A 19,998-nucleotide genomic window follows, 5' to 3' on the forward strand; every position below is an offset into this window, starting at 1 on the left:
GGGTGGTTCAGGACTTCTCTATGTATGAGGAGTCATCAGTGTAACTTATAAAAGAAATAAGAAAATAAGTGAATCTTGAAGATTGATGATATGTCATGACATACGTGTCATCAGCTCAGGGAAGTAAGGATGTATAAAGAAAAAAAAGTTTGCCTAAACAGGAACAGAAGATGAAGGAATTTAGATGACTCCAAACCTCAGCTAAGTCCACATATTCCATTTTGGCCTGTTTCTAACTCATTATTCAGTGCTTCTTCTTCAGTATCCTTCTCTGTAGTCACTGAAGATGTTTAAGTGGAGATATGACATTATTAAATTAATTCTTGATGATGTTTTATTTATCAAACTGTGCTGAATGTTGTGGATTTGATTTGATTTGGAAGAGAGTCCAGATGGAAGGTGAGCAGATAAGAGGTGAAGAAAATAGTCTAAACCCAAAATATTCAGGGCAGTGGGAATGAAGACATTGTAAAGAATCAATAGACGCCATCACACAGGAATGCTCTGGACTGCCAAGCACAGCATCTCTGAGACTCTGGTCATCTGTACCCCTTTTTTCCTCTGACTGCAATAGTAGACTCTTCCTACTCCAATCAAAGACTTATCTCTCCTATGTTCTGAATGTCATCCTTTCTCACTTGCTCAAGAATATTATTACACTTTGAATCTTTTCTCTAACCTCTATGCTGACTTTCTCCCTCATTGTGGACCCTTTAAATATTCTGAAATCTCTGCCATTTTAAAAACAAAAGTTAAGCTTTTTGAAAGAAGTATCTAGGCTTGCTGCTTACAGCTCTTCAGTTATATACAATCAAACATTTTGCATTTCATGATTTTTTTTACCTTTTTTTAATTATACTTTAGGTTCTGGGATACATGTGCAGAATGTGCAGGCTTGTTACATAGGTATACATGTGCCATGGTGGTTTGCTGCATCCATCAACCTGTCATCTGCATTAGGTATTACTTCTCCTAATGCTATCCCTCCCCTAACCCCCCCACCCCCTGACAGGCCCCAGTGTGTGATGTTCCCCTTCCTGTGTCCATGTGTTCTCACTGTTCAACTCCCACTTATGAGTGAGAACATGCAGTGTTTGGTTTTCTCTTCTTGTGTTAGTTTGCTGAGAATGATGGTTTTTTAAATAAATCAGAAAATTACTCTGTTCTGGTTTTTACTTTCACTTCCTCCACACAACTATGCCTGCTAAGGTCACCAATGCTGTCCAGATCAATAAGTCAGATGGTTCTATCCTGACTTGCCTGACCTTTGAATGGCTTTCAGTACAGTTTGCTACCCATTCTGTTTAGAAACTTTCTTCTTCTGACTTCTATAATACTATGTTCTCTTCATTTTCCTCATTCTTGAGTCCTAGTCATGCTTTTTTTCTTAATCAACCCTATTTTCCCCCAAATCCATCTTTATATAACCACTTTAGCTACCATCTCTTTAGCCATAGGTAACAAATTTGCATCTCCAGCCACATCACTGTGTTTCAGCTCTAGATATGCACATCCATTTGTTTAACCAATGAATATACAACATCTTATAGGACTTCACATGCAACATGCTCAAAACAACTGAGCTCATGATTTTTTTCCTCAAAGTTTCTTCCTCTCAACTATTTCAACCAACAAAACCACCACCTGCCTATTTTTTCATGTTAGAAACCTGGGCAATCACGGATCTTCCTCAACACTTTCCTTCTCTATTCCCCAATTTCCAATCAATCACAGAATGAAGCTGGGTTTGCTTCCTAAATATCTTAAAACTGGATCTTAAACTCATTTCTGCTGCTACCACCTTAGTCTAAAAAGACTTCCATTTCTCATTTGAGCTATTGCGATTGCTTCCTAATGCTTTGCTAACTAAACAGCCTCTCTTCCACCTACAATCCATGTTCTTCATGACAGCTGCACTGTTACCTTAAAAGACCATAACACCACCAGTAATTAAGATAACTTGGATATAATTTGATTTGTGACTAGTTGCTATTTCCCATCCTTTTCCCATTTCCAGATAGGAGTGAACTAAAGTTCTTATGCTTTGCTGGGAGATTGAGGGTAGGGGGGCAAAGAGGGGAAGGCAAGCCCCATTGAGGAAACTTCAGAAATTTCTGTCTTGGGAAATGGATGAGGAAGTTCTATTCCACCAGTGTTCTTCCAGTCCAATTTCCCTACATAGTACCAACAAAACAAGAGATCCCCAGTATTGCTACTATGATCTTGGAAATCCCAGCCACAGAGCCCAGAATCATCCCTACCAATCTACCAATATTTAACCTGGAATGAACAGTTGCCACTAGGTGGCGCCAGGCTGAAGCCAGCACGCAGACCCTGACTGGCAGGAATTTGGACAGCTCTTCTGGACTCCCATAACTCACAACCTGTTGTTCTTGTAGGCTCATCCAGGTCACTTAGTTAACCTCACCATAACCAAACACTACATTTAATGGTAGTGAAAAATTCTGGACTACACCTACTGTGTTCGGAAAGAATTTTACTGTATTTTATAAACTCAAATCAGAATGTGTCACTTCCCTGTTAAAACTCTTCCATGGCTTTCTTTGCTGTTAGGATAAAATCTCATCACTTGGACCCTAAGACATAATTTTAACCTTGAATACTTATGGAAACAGGCAGTTTGCATGAACGAATGATCCACCTGCTCATAAAACTATAGAATATGATGAGGCCTGTGGTATATGTATTTCCTGTTACAAGACATTCAAATTCAATTAAGAATGAAACAGAACAAATTATAAATATTTTAACAAGGGAAAGAAAAACTTTGTCTAGCACTCCACTCTGGCCAATTCTTTATGCTCCCTGCCCATATGGCAGTTTTATGATAATGTCAAGTTCCTTCTTACCTCAGCATTTTAGAACAGACCATTCCCTCTGCCTGGAATGCTTTCCTCTTCCTTTTTATTAGTTACCAATTTCTTGTCTTATAGACATTGGTCTAAAATCACTTCATCATGGAAGCCTATCCTTTTTGTACTCTTGCCCTGAATTAGATTCCATTTCGCTGTTATAGCACACTTACCCTCTTAGCCTTTGTTCAAAGTTATGATTACTTATGAAATATCTCTCTGTTCCTTTGCATTCATCCATCAAGTCACACATGCTGTAAATCTGTATTAAGCCTCTACTTTTCCAGGAACCTCCAATGTATTGTAAATTCATGGCAAGGTTCCCAGCATTGACTAGCTGGAAAGTGAATATGGAGGAAAGAGAAAAAAAGATTAGAAAATAACTTTTGAGTGGTAAGCCTGGAAAAATGATGAGACTATAGAGAATATAGGAAAATCAGGATGGAAGCAGGTTTCAGGACAGAAGGAAATATCTTTTTATTTTCAAATTGTGAGGAGACATTCAAAGTTTGTTGAATGTATAAGAGGCTGAGAAGCCATTTGCAAATTGTCTATAGAAGTGTGAGTATGAAGCTGTGAGACTACTTAGTGACTACAATCTCGAAGGCATGGAAAAGAATTTTTTAAAAAAGAAAGGATTGGCATATTTGAAGGGCAGTCTGGAAAAGTTAGCTCAAAAATGGAAATTTTCTTCTATATTTTGTATGAAATACAAGTTGGTTTTTTAAGCTTACTTTTAAAGGAAGTAGGTATATTTAGCTTCAGTAAACAAGGAAGGTTAGATGAAGTCCCTGATGTGCATCATTCCACTAGCAAGAGAATGGTGTAACACTTCTAAGGTGAAAAAAATGTAGCAAGGTTTAGTTCTTGGCTGAGCAATATTGTTCTGTAATTGTACAAGTTGGAGACTTAATTAGCCAATTAAATCCTGCTTCTCCATCCTTCCTCTTTCTAAATATACATTTTGAGCTCTCTTCTGATGTTGAAAAAACTCTCCTGTCTTTGAAACAAGTCCTGAAAATATTATTCAGTAGAAACCCATCTGCACAGTGATTGAGTCACAACAAATCCAGATTCCTGGAATCTGTGAGAAAGGCTTGTGCTCATCACGCCATCTCTCCCTTTTCATAGTTCTACGTTGAGGTCGTCCTGAGTTTGTTTTTAAGGTATTTTCTGCGCTGCTACACACTGTCATTTCACGTGAGGGCAGCAGAGAGGCAGCGTAGAAGCCCCTGAATAGCAAATCAGAAGAGCCCGAAGCTCAAATTTTGGGCGTAGTGTTTTCAGAACACCTCTTCAAAAATTAAATCACACGTTGTTTGTATCTCCTTAAACAATCCTAGTCTATTGATTTGCCTACTCTGTTCTTTTAAAAAAAGAATCAGACCTGTATCTAAAAATAGGTAAGAACATGTGAATACAGACTTTTGCAAGAGTTGTATCTGGTTTGCCCAGAATACGTTTTCTAATTTTTCTTCGGTCGTTACAATTTGACAACAGATTTGTTTAGTAATCACGTTATTATATTGTCCTATATACTTAAGAATTATTGTTTTGAGCGTAGTCCAAGCCCTGATGCCATTTTGAAACATACGGAAGCACATTTTGATTAAATGCAGTTTGAATAAAACACTGATGAAATAACAATAGCTTTTGTATCATATTTGTGAACGGTCTTTGGCTGTATCCTAGGTGGCAATAAAAAGGTAGTGAGTCAATTTGGATATTGTGAAAAAATTATTACTATTGAATTACAGCATAGAAAGTAACATATTCCCTAGGCTTCAGGCTCCCTGTCACTTAGCACTGCCTTTGTTCTCTCTGCCCAGAATGTTATTTTCCCTACCATCATCCCAGGCCACTTTCCAGCCACGCCCATCCTTTTGCAAGACTGACTTCTGTGGGTACTGCAGGTCTCAGGGTACAGGTGCCATCTCTGGGCAGCCTTCTCCACTGCTTCTCGATTTTCTTGGCCATTCTGTGCTTCTCCTGTTTACTCCTATGGTCCTCTGTAGGCTCCTATGGGAACTATGTCTTGTTCCTAATTTTGTCTCTAGTACTTAGTACTATGTGCTTAGTAGAAGCCCGTTAAAAAACAAACAATAAATACTTAGAATCTTTATCAAGATGGTGGGAGTGGGGAATAGGAGGAGCAGAGAACTATTCAAACTGTGAAAAAGAGGTTAAAAGAGGATTTGCCACCCTGCCTATTTTAGCGTAGGGGTAGGAGTTTAACATTTGAGGCAATAGCAAAGATGATGGACATCAGTGCTTCTCAGCAAACATTTGACAATCTCAGGTAAGACCAGATAGATCTTAGGTCTATAGCTAGTCAGCTAGTCAGTCATATGACTCAATACTGGTGACAGCTAGGGGCTTAAAGGAAATAAAAACACGTTTGTGAAAATGCTTTGTGTAGGGCTAAGCACAGAGAGGAGTGAGCATCGAATGTCTGCTGAAAAACAAAAGAAGCTTAGACTTTATCGTGATCTTAGCAAAATTCTTTTCCTATAGCTTTCTGGTCGTTAAGGTGACTCCCTCAAGGGCATCAGTCTGCACTGGAAATCATTGCAGTGTGGTAGAGAGAGGGAGAGGGAGCTCTTTATAGAGAGGACTCAGCTCGCCTTCGCCTTCTTAGCATCTTGTTGCTAGGCAATAGCTCCTCTGGTGGAAGCTCATCTCCATTTTTAAAGATGGAGTGAAGTCTTGCCGAGGGAAATGCAGTTTGTACAAACTGGGCCATGTGCAAACAGTATTTTGCTCTAGTCCTGAAAACTGCTTTTCCCTATAAGGGAGACAAATCAGTCCTACTTAAATCCTGTCACTTAACAACCAGATAATATAACTCCTCTCTTTCTCTCTCTTTTCTGTAAAGCATAGACTTCCTTTTTAATCTTATTGATTTATTTTTACCTTTCCAACTATATGTCTTTCCAAATTGATTTAATGAGATTCAGCAGGGCATTGCTTGTAATAGTATTTCCCTAGACTGCTGAATTAATTTCCATTTAAAAAATTACTTTGGATCTGCAGCTCTGTCCGGCACCTAGCGTATTGCTCTTACTGCATTTTACATAATGATAAAATATAATGAGTGGTCAGTAAGAAGGGCCAATATTTAATGAATATAGTTTTTTTTAAACAAAGTGTAGATAGGTCATACTGTTTGTATATATCTGAAAAACCTATACATAATTTGCTAGACTCTAAGCTTTCAAAAACCAATATAGAATAATTATCTTTCTCAGAACTGCAAAATGTCCTTTAGACACTAAGAGCTTTGTGTATTTAATCTTTTAACCTTTTAAATTGTTGGTCAATTTAGACAGCAAAATTGGCAATTCACTTTTATTTTCTCATCTTGTAATAATGTCACAGATTTTTGGAAGCTAGTGACTAAATTCATATAGCCATGTTGTATCAGTCTCTTTTTAATTCTGAAAGTCTTGAATGTATAAATAACTTGAGAAATGTACAGATACCTTACTATGGAGTTTAAAAATTCTGTTCTAATTATTATTGTATGATTTACATAGTAGATCCCTGAATTTATAACAATGTGTTTTTTTTTTTTTTCAAATTTAATTCTGGAGAAGGTCTGACACATGATTGCCACTTCTATTAGTCCATGTTGTGTTGCTGTAAAGGAATATCTGAGGCTGAGTAACTTATAAATCAAAGAGCTTTATTTTGGCTCATGGTTCTTCAGACTGTACAAGAAGCATGGCACCAGCATCTGCTTCTGATAAGGTCTCAGGAAGCTTCCAGTCATGGTGGAAGGCGAAGTGGAGCAGGCATGTCACATGGCAAGAGAGGGAGCAAGAGAGAGAGAAGAGGAGTGCCACACTTTTAAATGGCCAGCTCTTGTGTGAAGTAATAGAGGAGAACTCACTCATTAATGTGGGCAGGGCACCACACCATTTATGAGGGTTCCACCCCCAGGATCGAAACACCTCCCACTAGGCCTCACCTCCAACATTGGAGATTACATTTCAACATGAGATTTAGAGGGGACAAATATCCAAAATAGGCCAGGTGCAGTGGCTCACGCCTATAGTCCCAGCAGTTTGGGAGACTGAGGTGAAAATATCACTTGAGCCCAGGAGGATCACGTAGTGAGCCAAGATCATGCCACTGCACTCCAGCCTGGGCGACAGAGCGAGACTCTGTCGCCAAAAAAAAAAAAAAAAAAAAAAAAAAAAATTAACCAGGTGTGGTGGCGGGTGCCTGTAGTCCCAGTTACATGGGAGGCCCAGGCAGGAGAATGGCGTGAACCTGGGAGGCGGAGCTTGTAGTGAACTGAGATCTCGCCACTGCACTCCAGCCTGGGCAACAGAGGGAGACTCCATCTCAAAAAAAAAAAAAAAAAAAAAGAAGTCCACAAACTTTGGATCTTGAGTGGGTTTAATGAGGTTGAAAGAATTTCCTGACACACTTAAGTTTTAACCTTCCTTCCTTCCCTTCCTGCCCTCCCTCCCTCCCTCCCTCCCTCCTTTCTTTCTTTCTCTCTCTCTCTCTTTCTTTCTCTCTCTCTCGTTCTTTCTTCTGTCATTCAACTTACATTTGTGGATTTCCATCTCTATTAGTTAGCCCATTTTGATAGTGATAGAATTCTAACTTGAACCAGCTTAAGCAAAAAAGGAATTGTTCATGGTAGAGCTGAACACCCCAAACCAGGGTCTGGAAAGCCAGCAGCACACTTTGTCTTACACTCTCATTTGTACTTCTCTCATTATGCTTCATCCTCTTAAACTATCTTTATCTCTGTGTCCGTACCCAGAACTTCTAGCAGCTTCCTGGATCATATCTTCCTAGTTAAAAAGAAAGGAAGGACTTCTAATTTACCAATATTTATATTACAGAAAAGGACCCAGAAGGTAATCTTGAGTCACATACCTACTGAAATACTAAATCCTGTGGCCATGAAAGCAGAGAAAGGAAAGAAATGGCAGTTTCACATGTTCAAAAGGGAAGAGCAGTGGAACAAGAATGGCAGTGGTATTGACTGCAAGGAGTACTAAGCAGATAAAACTAAAAATAACTGCTACCTCATCATTTGCAAAGTACTTTAAGAAAAATGACAAGTTAGATGTAGTCCCTGTCCATAAAGGAACACACTTTCTGAAAAGGACAACAGATTTATAAATGAGTACCTTTAATACAATGTTACTCATGCAATAATAAAAGTTGCACATGATTCTCTGGGATCTTAGGGAAGGGCAAACCATCTTTGTTAGGAAAATGATGAATTAGTCAGTGTTCCCTGTGTATGTGTGTGTATCACATATATATAATATATATGTATATTTTAACATATATATGTGTATTCATATATATTTCATATATATATAAGGGGAGTTTATTAGGAAGAATTGGCTCACATGATTGTAAAGCAGAGTAACCTCAATAGGCCCTCTGAAAGCTGGGGAAAGAGAGAAGCTGGTAGAGTGGCTCAATCCAAGTCTAAAAGCCTCAAAACCAGGGAAGCTGTCAGTGTAGCCCTCAGTCTGAGGTTGAAGACCCTTGAGCCCCTGGAAGGTTGCTGGTGCAAGCCCCAGAGTCCAAAGGCCCTAAAACATGTAGTCTGATATCCAAGGGCAGCAGGAGAGGAAGCCAAGAGTTCTGCCCAGCTGCCCAGCATGGGAAGAGAGAGGGAGCAGACTCAGCAAGCAAGCTACGTATCCCCCTTCTTCCACGTGTTTTGTTCTAGCTGTACTGGCAGCCAACTGGATGGTGCCCATCCACATTGAGGGTGGGTCTTTCTGTTCCAGCCCACTGACTCAAATGATAATCTCCTCTGTCAACACCCTTGCAGACACACCCAGAAACAATGCTTCATCAACCAGCTAGGCATTCCTTGATCTAGTCAAGTTGACACCTAATATGACCCATCACACACGGAGATGAGAAGTGACAGGAATGTATATAATGGGATATGGGGATGGTGTTGTCAATAACGTGTTTGCTTTGATAGTTATGTTTACAATGAATCTTCAATAATATGTAGGATTATGCGAGGTCAACAAATGAAGCAGTTCATTTTGGCAAATGGGACGGCAAAGACAAAAATAACGTGGTTTATGAAATGTTAGAGGTTTAACATAGGTCAAGTGAACGGTAAATGCTGGGACTTGCCAGGAGACAGCTGCAAAGATAACCAGGAGCCATATCATGAGGGCTCTTTGGCCATGATAAAGAGTTTCAAGGAGTCTTGGGAGATTTTAAGTTGTATGTAAAAAATCTGGCTGAGCATTTGTGTTGGTAAGTAAACATTATTGTGGAGTAATATTTAAAATGAAAATGGGAAATGCATGGGATTCTCTGGCGTTACTTGCATTTTATACCTGCCTGGGGAATCACCTGAAAGTAGTAACCCCAAGATCTAAACGCTCTAAGAATTAATGGCTTAAAGTAGTGCTTTCAATCTTTTCCAGATGCTGTGCACATAACAAATAATATTTACACAGCAAGCAGAGACTGCCTGAGGAGGATATTTGTTGCCAGATGTGCCCAGCACAGGAGTCCTGGCCACTCTAGGTCTCATCTATTTGCCATGAGGGCTGAAGAATATATCCTGTCTCCTCAGGCTATAACCATTTGCTGCACACTAGTTGAGAAATTGTAGTTTAGAGAACTGAATTAGAGTGGGGACATGATATGTCTTTCCACAGAATAGGAATCACTTGTTTTGACAGGTAGTACCAACAATGCTAACGTTTTTAATGGCAGTGAATGACCCCTAAAAGATCTTTCAAGATTTCACATTATGTTCCTCTCAAAAACTAGAGAATTTTTATTTAAAAAAATACTTCTTCCACTGGAATGAAATGTGTTTTAAAATGTATGTCTTATTGTTACTCAAGTGTGGTGAGGCCAACACATCAGAAGACAATTGACATTGAAAAGATAGTTTGTTACGCACAGTTCCAGAGAGGGGGCATATGCTATGTAGGACCATGCAGGGAAGCACCAGGGTTGGTCAGGAGGCAGAGGGAATGAGGGAAAAATGAAAGCAAGAGCCATTATTGTAGTTTCTGTAGGAAGGAACAGGTAGGGCAGGGTAAGCAGGTTCAGGATTGGCTAGTTTGAATAACTTCAATGGGCTCTGAAGTGCAGAGGCTGTCTCTAGTTGTCTATTGCCTAGCCCTGGGATGATCAAGACAGGGGGTAGTGGCCCAGACAGTGAGAGACCAATAATGAGGTGGCTGGGGTGTGAACTCTGGATTGGTTGCATATGAAAGGCATGTCCCGGCTGGGTGCGGTGGCTCACCCGTGTAATCCCAGCACTTTGAGAGGCCGAGGCGGGCAGATTACCTGAGGTCAGGAGTTCAAGACCAGCCTGACCAACATGGAGAAACCCCGTCTCTACTAAAAATACAAAACTAGCCAGGCATGGTGGCGCATGCCTGTAATCCCAGTCTACTCAGGAGGCTGAGGGAGGAAAATCTCTTGAACCCAGGAGGCAGAGGTTGTGGTGAGCCAAGATCACACCATTACACTGCACTCCAGCCTGGGGAACAAGAGCAAAACTCCATCTCAAAAAAAAAAAAAAAAAAAAAAAGAAAAGCATGTCCCTGGCAAGTTGTTTGCCATCTCCAGGCACAGTCTCTTCCAGTGTCAGCAAGGCTTCACAATGTGAAAGCATCATAAATACAGAAAACAAAAAGCCATGATTAATGTAAAAAGTAATACTCTTTTACTATATTCAACATTATAACATATAAATTACTGAATTTTCCAAGTGGAATGAAGGAAAAAACTGAGAACTCAGTCATATTTTAGATGACAGACGTTGGAAAGAAAGTATGAATAAAACCTTAATAAAAATGTGTTTATAAAGTAATGATAAAAACTCTACAAACCATAAAAATCTTCTTTTTTATTGTTTAATGGTGAAAATAGTCCTGATTTGCTGATAAAATGAGCCACTAAAACAGAAAACATTGCATGGAATTAGTGTTTGAAACCTTGATATGCTATCCATTGTCTTATGGTAGAAACAATACTTATTCTGAGAAATATTGAAATACATAATTCAAAATAGTGACAGATAATTCTAAAACACTTTGGACATACTTTATGATTTTGATGGTCTTTTTTTCTAATATGTTTTGCTTAGGTAAGTTTTAAAATTAACTTTTATTTCCTGAGTACCCAACAGCTGGGTAGCAGAGGTAAATAAGTAAAAAGCATATTGGGTAAAAGGGGGAAGCTTGTCTGAAACTTACAAATGAACAGGAGTTTTTCATTTCATCTCCATACCAATTATTACTTCACCATATGAAGAACTTTAAAACATTGCAAAAAAATTGGAAAATGTAAAATTTTCTGCAGATCCATCAATATACATATAAAGTAAGTTAATAATACAAAGGTATTATTGTAATGGGAATTATGTTTACATATATAGTCTTACCTTTTCTAATTCTTCGTTTAACTATGTCCCGTAATTAACTTCTGCAATGATTTTATTTTTCATTTTGTGATTATTTTTTATTCCTCAGATTTTCTAAATAGTACACACATGCCACATATCAACTAGAGATGTAGTCAGAGAAATGCTGCGAACAAATAGTTCTTTGAACTAAACCCAGACATTTGCATTGAATATGCTGCTTAAAATTCATTTATTCAGTCTCCTAGGCTGTTTAGTGTTGTAGTATGCATATAAAAATTTTCAGTTTTCTAAAGTGTAGCTAGAAAAATTCTGGATTTATAATGCTCATAATATTTTTACTGGCAACAGATATGCACCACTAAGTGTATTACAAAAACTGTTTGAATTTTCATTTCATTTATTTGTTAGAAAGATATAGCCCTTCTGACCACAATTAATTTATGTGCCTTTCTCCAAGTTCTTTTAAAAAAATGTACCTTTATACCAATCAATTTAATTTATGGAAAAGATAATTAATCCATTATCATAGACACAATTTATGTTATGTTCTTAGTTGAAGTACTGGGAACTCAATTAATAGAAACTTCGTGTTCGTGAAATGGAAAGTTGGAGAAAATGTTGTCCGGTCTCACCAGGGAGAGAATCATCTAAGAATGGTATTAAGAATTTAGGATCTTTTAGACATATATCATGATATTCATGATATTCAAAGTTAGATGTTTGAATGTGATTCCCAAGAAGGTGAGATTTTATCAGATGATCATAAGAATGGCAGTGTTGTAGATGCAGTTGACTTAGAAAAAGGCACAATATTTTAGAAGTACCATTTAGGCTGAATTGTAGAGAATGTCAAGGAAATTACAGGCGTTCATAGCACAATACCTCCAATTATGATGAATTTTTAAATTGAATTTGTTTCAAATCTGAATGTATAATATTGTTAATGCAAATGTTTTATTTGTAATGACAGAGATGGAAATGTCATGTTAGATCATCTCCTGCCAATGCAAAACAGACTCCTGAAGTCTGCTTATAATGACTTTGTTCATACTGGTTTAACATTGCTGCATCAAATGGAATAGTATTAAGAAAAGTCTATTTTAATGTAGAAGTTACTTTGATTTGACTGTCCTATTAAAAATACCAGTAGAGTCAAATGTCATTATTATGATTTTCAGATAACCCAATTACGTATGAGGAGACTCAGTAGAGGTGTCAAAACCAAAAGCAATCCTGTTATGTCTGATAAACTGTCTGTATAACACTCAAAGTGCTTTATGAATCTTTGATGCTATTTAGGTTGATATGTAAATTATCTAGCCCAGCATGTACAGAGTCACTGTGCAGCAACACCAAAGATCAAAAGCAATGTCAGCTCTTAGTCTATTCAACTTCAAAGACTAATAAAAAATGAAGAAAGTTAAGTGAAAAGTATTTTATATTTAATACAAGAAATCCTTTAAAAATATAAGGCATACAATCCTGGTTCAACTGAAGACATTCTAGTGGGTTTACAATGTCTCTAGCTAGTTTACACTGCAGCCCCTCATGACTTCTCAGTACCCATGAAGATACAGATCAAGAGGAATTCTGACAGTGCAGTTGCAATATGAAACTGACATTTAACCCATTGCCAAAATCTGGGAGGAATTTTCAGTAACTGCAAGAACTATGAAAAGGGATTTTAAAGTGCAGGAAATAGACTCCTAATCTTATGCTGTTTTATTTTGATTTTGTCTACTTCAAAGGAGTAGAAAAATGATTTTTTTTTCTCCTTCAGATCTCCTTGTCACCCTTTCCCACCAGACACACACAGTTCAGAGAGATTGAGCCAAAACAACAACAACAAAAACCCGGAGGCAAGACTAAATTATGATTTTGGTGTCTCTTCCTCAATGACCCAGCCTTGATCCCCCTATTTCACCATCCACACCTGCTTCCCAGCCCACATACCCACTGTAAAGGAGGTTGAAGGGTTATTAGGCAGAAGAAGGGTGGTGGTGTATATACTGGCAGTAGCATGGGAAAATGTGGTCAGCACAAGTCAAGTGCCATGGAAGAGATGCCTAGAGTCATGGCATCAGTTCTTTCTGTGACTTGTGTTCCTGACTGCACTGTGAAGACTATTAGAGAGCCAGTGAGTGGGAGGCAATAGAAGTCTCACTTCAGAAGAAAGGAAGCTCACTAGATTGAAAAGATGCTAGCATTGACAGTGGGGTGAAAAATGTGTTTATTTTATTTATTTAGTTATTGAGACGGAGTCTCGCTCTGTTGCCCAGGCTGGAGTGCAGAGGCGCGATCTCGGCTCACTGCAAGCTCCGCCTCCTGGGTTCACGCCATTCTCCTGCCTCAGCCTCCCAAGTAGCTGGGACCACAGGCGCCTGCCACCACGCCCAGCTAATTTCTTGTATTTTTAGTAGAGACGGGGTTTCACCGTGTTAGCCAGGATGGTCTCGATCTTCTGACCTCGTGATCTGCCCGCCTTGGCCTCCCAAAGTGCTGGGATTACAGGTGTGAGCCACCGCACCTGGCTGCGAAAAATGTGTTTATTTACTTGTGATAACATTGTAGATCATAGAGGAAGATAGTATCAGGACAAGGTGTCTGTTAGTCTGTTCTCACTCTGCTATGAAGAAATACCTGGGACTGGGTAATTTATAAGAAAAGAAGTTTAATTGACTCACAGATCCACATGGCTAGGGAGGCCTAGGAAACTTACAATCATGGCAGAAGGCACCTCCTCACAGGGCGGCAGGAGAGAAATGAGTGCAGAGCGAAGGGGGAAGCCTCTTATAAAACCATCAGATCTCGTGAGAACTCACTATCATGAGAACAGCATGGGAGAAACTGCTCCTATAATTCAATTATCTCCACCTGGTCCCATCCTTGATACGTGGGGATTATTACAATGCAAGGCGAGATTTGGGAGGGAACACAGAGCCAAGCCATATTAAGGTGGGAAAAGTTTAATTTAGTCTTTGCTATCACTAAATGTTTACTATAATAAATGTTGAGAATCTGGATAGAGATGACTTACTCAATGTTGAGGATCTGAAAAGAAAAAAAATTCACGATGGATACTATAAGAAATTACCTGGGAAAGAAAGACCTGGGCTCAAAAAGTAGTCCTAAGAATTAAATTTTAGAAAAATGATTAACATCCCTCGTATGATGCCAATGACATTTTTGTTAGGAGCTGAGATGAAAGGATAAGATAAAAAGTGAGATTTCTGAAGTAAAAAGTAATTAAAAAGAGCTAAAAATTCAATATCTAGATTAAAATTCACGTTGAGGACAGTAAAAGACAGATTTGACACTGCAGAAAATTGAACTGGTAATGTGAACAATGATTAGTTCTCTCAGAATGTAGAGAAAAAAGCACAATAATAAAAAAGATGTGGAGGAAGATCATAGATACGAGATGCCAAAAATGGAAAGCCAATCTCAAAATTACACATGCTCTGAGGAACATACTAGAATGATTGAATCAGAAGCACCAAAGATACAATTGATGAAAAATTTCCTGGATTTACAATGCTGGTTGAAAGAGTTTGCTGTGTTCCAGGCAAAAAATAGTACTGAAAAACCTATAGCTAGGGACATCTTGGCAATTAAAAAAAAATTCCTATAGAGTAGCATTATATTTCAAAAGCATTGAAGTCATTAAAGCAGCTTATTTGTAACAGAAAAAAAATTATGATGATACTTGATGAATCCCCTGCTATACATGCAGGAAGGTAATGAAACCATCAACTTATACTAATTTTCTATAAAATATGGAGGGAGAAAGATTGTAGCCCAAGGATCTTACATAAAACCAAGGTATTCTATCATGAATAAAGGTAGCAAATATCAGAAAATATATCATCCATATATTTTGAGATGTAACATGAAAATGTATATCAGCAAACCAAAAGACAAATCAAAATTAAGACTTCAAAAATGACAGTGGAATATAAAAAAGTATTTAGACATCTCCCTTTATCTTTTGTGAAATCCAAATTCAGTAATTCCGTGAAATTTGCAGCATTCATCAACATCTAGTTCAAAAGGGCTTTCTTAGCAACACAGGTTCTGAAGTTAGACTGTCTTGGTTAAATCTGGGTGCTGAAAATTTGTTTCCAAGGGAAAGACACTTAACCTATCTATGCATTAGTTTCTTTATATGTAAAATGGGCATAACATTAGTATCTGTTTTGAGGAATCATAAAAATTAAATAAGTCAAGGCACATTGATGTTAGCTATTCTTATTTCCAGATTTTAAAATAACACTCATATTATTATATATTTCTATGTGTGTAAATTAGAGAAATGAATTTGCAAAACAACTAATCTTCTTGTTGATTCTGATGGAAAGAATATAGTATACTGTTTAAGGAACAACCAGACACAGCATGAATCCCTTCTCTGTCACTTTTTTATAGTGTGTATTTGGATAAGTTACTGAATATCTGTGAACCTCAACTGTTTTCATTTGTGAAATGGGGGAAAATATTTAATGTACAGATAGAGTGACCAACAGGTCCTGGTTTGTTCTGGACATTTTCAGTTTTTACACTGAAACTCCTGTGTTCTCAGTCCCAGACAAACTGGGACCATTGGTCACTCTCTTATAGGATTGTTAAAAATCTCAAAAGTGCTTAGCATATGACCTGAAAACATAAATGTTCAAGAAATGTTATGTTATTTATTTTTCGAAGGAACAAGTTTTCAAAATCCAGTATTTTTCTTAAACTTACAGCACATATCAGTTTAGACTAGCCACATTACAAGTACTCAATGGCCACACATGGCCAGTGGGTACCATGTTGGACAGCACAGTTCTAGACAGATGCTGGAATAAGTTGAAGAAGAGAAGGGTATTGCCACAAAATTGTTATTTTCTGTTTTCTAAGAAGATGATGATTATTTTTTCTCTCTTATTTCATACTCGCTCACAATTTCCAAATTTATAAATTCTTTTGTCAAGTAAAATATTGCAGTTAGGCGATGAAATAAAGAGCTGTTACTTTATCTCATATTTGGAATTATCTACATTAATAAAAACTTATATGTATGTAAAGTTTTATTCAACCATTTTCCTCAGGGAAATCAGGACAAAATGCATAGTGGTAGGAAAGCCTATGGCTTATGCCGTTTTATTGCTCACTTATTTTTAAATGGTTGAAACTTAGCCTATATTCACATTCTCCTGTGCTAGAGAGCTACTTTGAATTTCTGATCACTCTTTGTTTTGTCTGAAAAGAATGTTTGCCCAAGATATTATTAAACACAATATGAAATACAAAACTTTGGTAGTTAAAGTTTAATGCTTCCAAATATCTCTATCAGTTGCTGACACCCTAGAATATTATGAGTAGGTCATAGAGATACTTGCTTTGTGATCTTAATGGATATCAGTGACTTGTAAAACTTTTTCTAAGCCGTTACGAAATATTAGACACTCTGCCTTTGGTTTATGGGCTCCACATAGATTATATAGTCAATAATAACAAAATTAAATAATGCAGGCAATTGGGTCTTGTCTTCCTCTAGTACTGAGTCCTGATTAGAAAACAAAAAGAAGATAGCCTTTTTCTTTTTTTCTTTCTTAATATCCCATAGCCTCCAATTATGCCCACTGAATGAAACCAGGAGAGCTAGTTCAAACTAGATTTAGTTTTTCCTACATAGTATTTCTGGACATGTTCAGTGAAAATCATTGTTATATGATGATCCAAAAAAAGTCTATTCTCTGATTATTTTTGATTGTTTTAACTAAAAGTAAAAGGAGGCAGACCATCTGGCAAAGGGTGGCAAGTTATATCACAAATGCCAACCATAATTGATTATTAGCAGCTGTAAGAAGGCTCTGCTAAGGAGAACTGTGAGGTCTGGTGCAATTCTCTGTGAAAAATCATCTAAAGATATCTGCAAGGGCTGTGGGAAGTGGAGGCACATATGCACATCCCAACCTCTCATTAACAGTAAACTTCACAAAGATGAAACAGAAATCATTATTTCAGCAGACTGTCTGGAGCAGTAAGCAGCATTGAGAAAAACGGGGTCAGTCAGTTGCTAAGCCTAAAGGAAATGTTGCCTTTGGAATTCTCCAAAAAGATGTAGAATTCTGGCCCATAGGCTCACAGGTGCCAACCTTAAGGAAGCAGCTTGCTTGAGCATACTGTAGGTGCCAGTGTATCTGTTTTTATTATAACCAGTGGACACTAGCAGAGTGTGGAATGATGATGACAAAGAAGACCAATGTTAAAAAGTGGAAATCTCATAAAATATCTGATACGGTTAGGCTTTGTGTCCCCACCCAAATCTCATCTTGAATTGTAATCCCCAGGTGATGTAGGAAAGACCTGGTGGGAGGTGATTGGATTATGGGGGCGGTTTCCCACACGCTGTTCTCATGATAGTGAGAGAATTCTCATGAGATCTGATGGTTTTATAAATGGTAGTTTCTCCTACGTTTGCACACACACACTTTCTCTCTCTCTCTCTTGCCTGCCGCCGCATAAGATGGACATGCTTGCTTCCCCTTCTGCCATGATTGTAAGTTTCCTGAGGCCTCCCCAGCCATGTGGAACTGTGAGTCAATTAAACCTCTTTCCTTTATAAATTACCCAGTCTCAGGAAGTTTTTTATAGCAGTGTGAGAATGGACTAATACAATATCATAGTTACATCAAAGACAGTATCAAAATATTCTAAAGTCAGTTTTATCAACATTTCAGTGGGAGAAGGTTATATTTGGATCTTCTTATAAAAAGATAATATTTGAAATGCATAATTATAGACTATAAGAAATATAAGTGATTTTGCTAGTTTAACCCCATCATTTAACAAATAGACAAACAATCCAAGGAAGACGGCTGAAATTCAATGTCTAAGAGTTTCATGTGGATCAGAACAGTGTCCAGAGGTAAGGCCTCTCAGTTCTAACAGGGATCAGAATCTGAACATCAGAGGCCTTCTGGACCCAGTAGAGGCTATTTATTTCATTTTACTTCCTATGGGTAGAACTTTCCTAAAACTATTTTGGGCAGGTAGCTTTTCATCATCTTTAAAAAGCTCTGTAACTTTCTGTTGCTTCTATTAAATAAATGTAAAAGGAGAATAATTGTATTCTTTATCTTTTGCTGTTCTTCCACTTAACTCCTTTCCTGGAACCTCCTTTTTTGGGAGGAAATCCATTAACATATTTCATATATTACCTTTTTTTTGATATACAAAGAATTTATACAGTCATATTTTTGGTAAGAAAAATCCATAACTAATAAAAGTTTCCTATTTGTCAGACATAATTTAGCCCTCTCTCTCTCTCTTTTTTCTTTTTCTTTCTTTTTTTTTTTTTTTTGAGACGGAGTCTCGCTCTGTCACCCAGGCTGGAGTGCAGTGGTACGATCTCGGCTCACTGCAAGCTCCGCCTCCCAGGTTCATGCCATTCTCCTGCCTCAGCCTCCGGAGTAGCTGGGACTACAGGCACCCACCACAACGCCTGGCTAATTTTTTGTATTTTTAGTAGAGACGGGGTTTCACCGTGTGTTAGCCAGGTTGGTCTCGATCTCCTGACCTCATGATCCACCTGCCTTGGCCTCCCAAAGTACTGGGATTACAGGCGTGAGCCACTGCGCCCGGCCTAGCCCTCTCTTTATTCTATTGCATCTTAAAGTCTAGTGGCTGGATGACTCAGTGGAAAAAAAAACAAACATTAATCATAATTGTATGTAAAACTTAAACAATTTTGGGAAAAACAAACATTAATCATGATTATATGTAAAACTTAATCAATTTTGGGAGCACTTTCAAATGTTTTGATTTTAGCCAAGAGTTTATATATTTTTTTCATTCACTAAACATTTTTGAAAACCTACAATATGAACTAGGCACAGTTAAGAATTGAGCATGGAATGCTTACAAAATGCTCCTAATTTGGTTGGTATAAATATATAAATACAGCTAAAAATGATATATTTTATATAAATAACATGGACAATGAGCCATTTGAGTACAGACAATGTAGTTCAGGAAGACCTCATGGATGAGGTGAATTTTGAGGTCTGTAGAGAATTCCCAAGGAGGACAAGACATAACAGTGAAGGGGCACAGGCAAAAGCAAGGAGACATGATGCAGTGTGTCATTTTTCAGGAAAATAATAGCCTGGTATCACTGAAGTACAGTGTGTAAGGGACAGGGTGTCAGAGAATGGTCCTAGAAAAGTATATTGTGTGCTAGGACTGTACCCTTAAGACATGGATAGTCATCACAATTTTTTAAACAAGGAAGTAGTATAGTGAGATCTTTATTTACAAAGATAATACTAGTGGCAACATGGAGGATAGTTTGGAGAGGAAAGAGCTCACAGATAGCAGGGAACTGGAGTTGAAAGATTTAAGGAACAAGGCATTGTTCAGGGTCCCATGATCCCTTATATTTGCTTCACTTTTTTTTTTTTCTTTTCCTACTGGTTCTCTTTACCTATACATTATCCCAATTCCTTAACAGAGCTTACAGAGCAGATCTGCCACCTGCCTGCCAATTGAGCGGGAACCAGCCTCACTCTTTCCAATCACCCCCAAGCTCCAGCATGCTGTTTCTCCTTCCATTACACCTACGTTGCAAACTCCTCTCTGCCTCAGGGAGGCAGGGTCTCCTGTTTGAACTGGGTCTCCTGTCTGAACTGTTTATTTCCTCCCCTTTTGCATGGCCAACTATTTATTAAGTTGCAGGTTAGTGTT

This window comes from Homo sapiens, chromosome 2 (genome assembly GCF_000001405.40).
Source record: "Homo sapiens chromosome 2, GRCh38.p14 Primary Assembly".
NCBI classification, from domain to species: domain Eukaryota; kingdom Metazoa; phylum Chordata; class Mammalia; order Primates; family Hominidae; genus Homo; species Homo sapiens.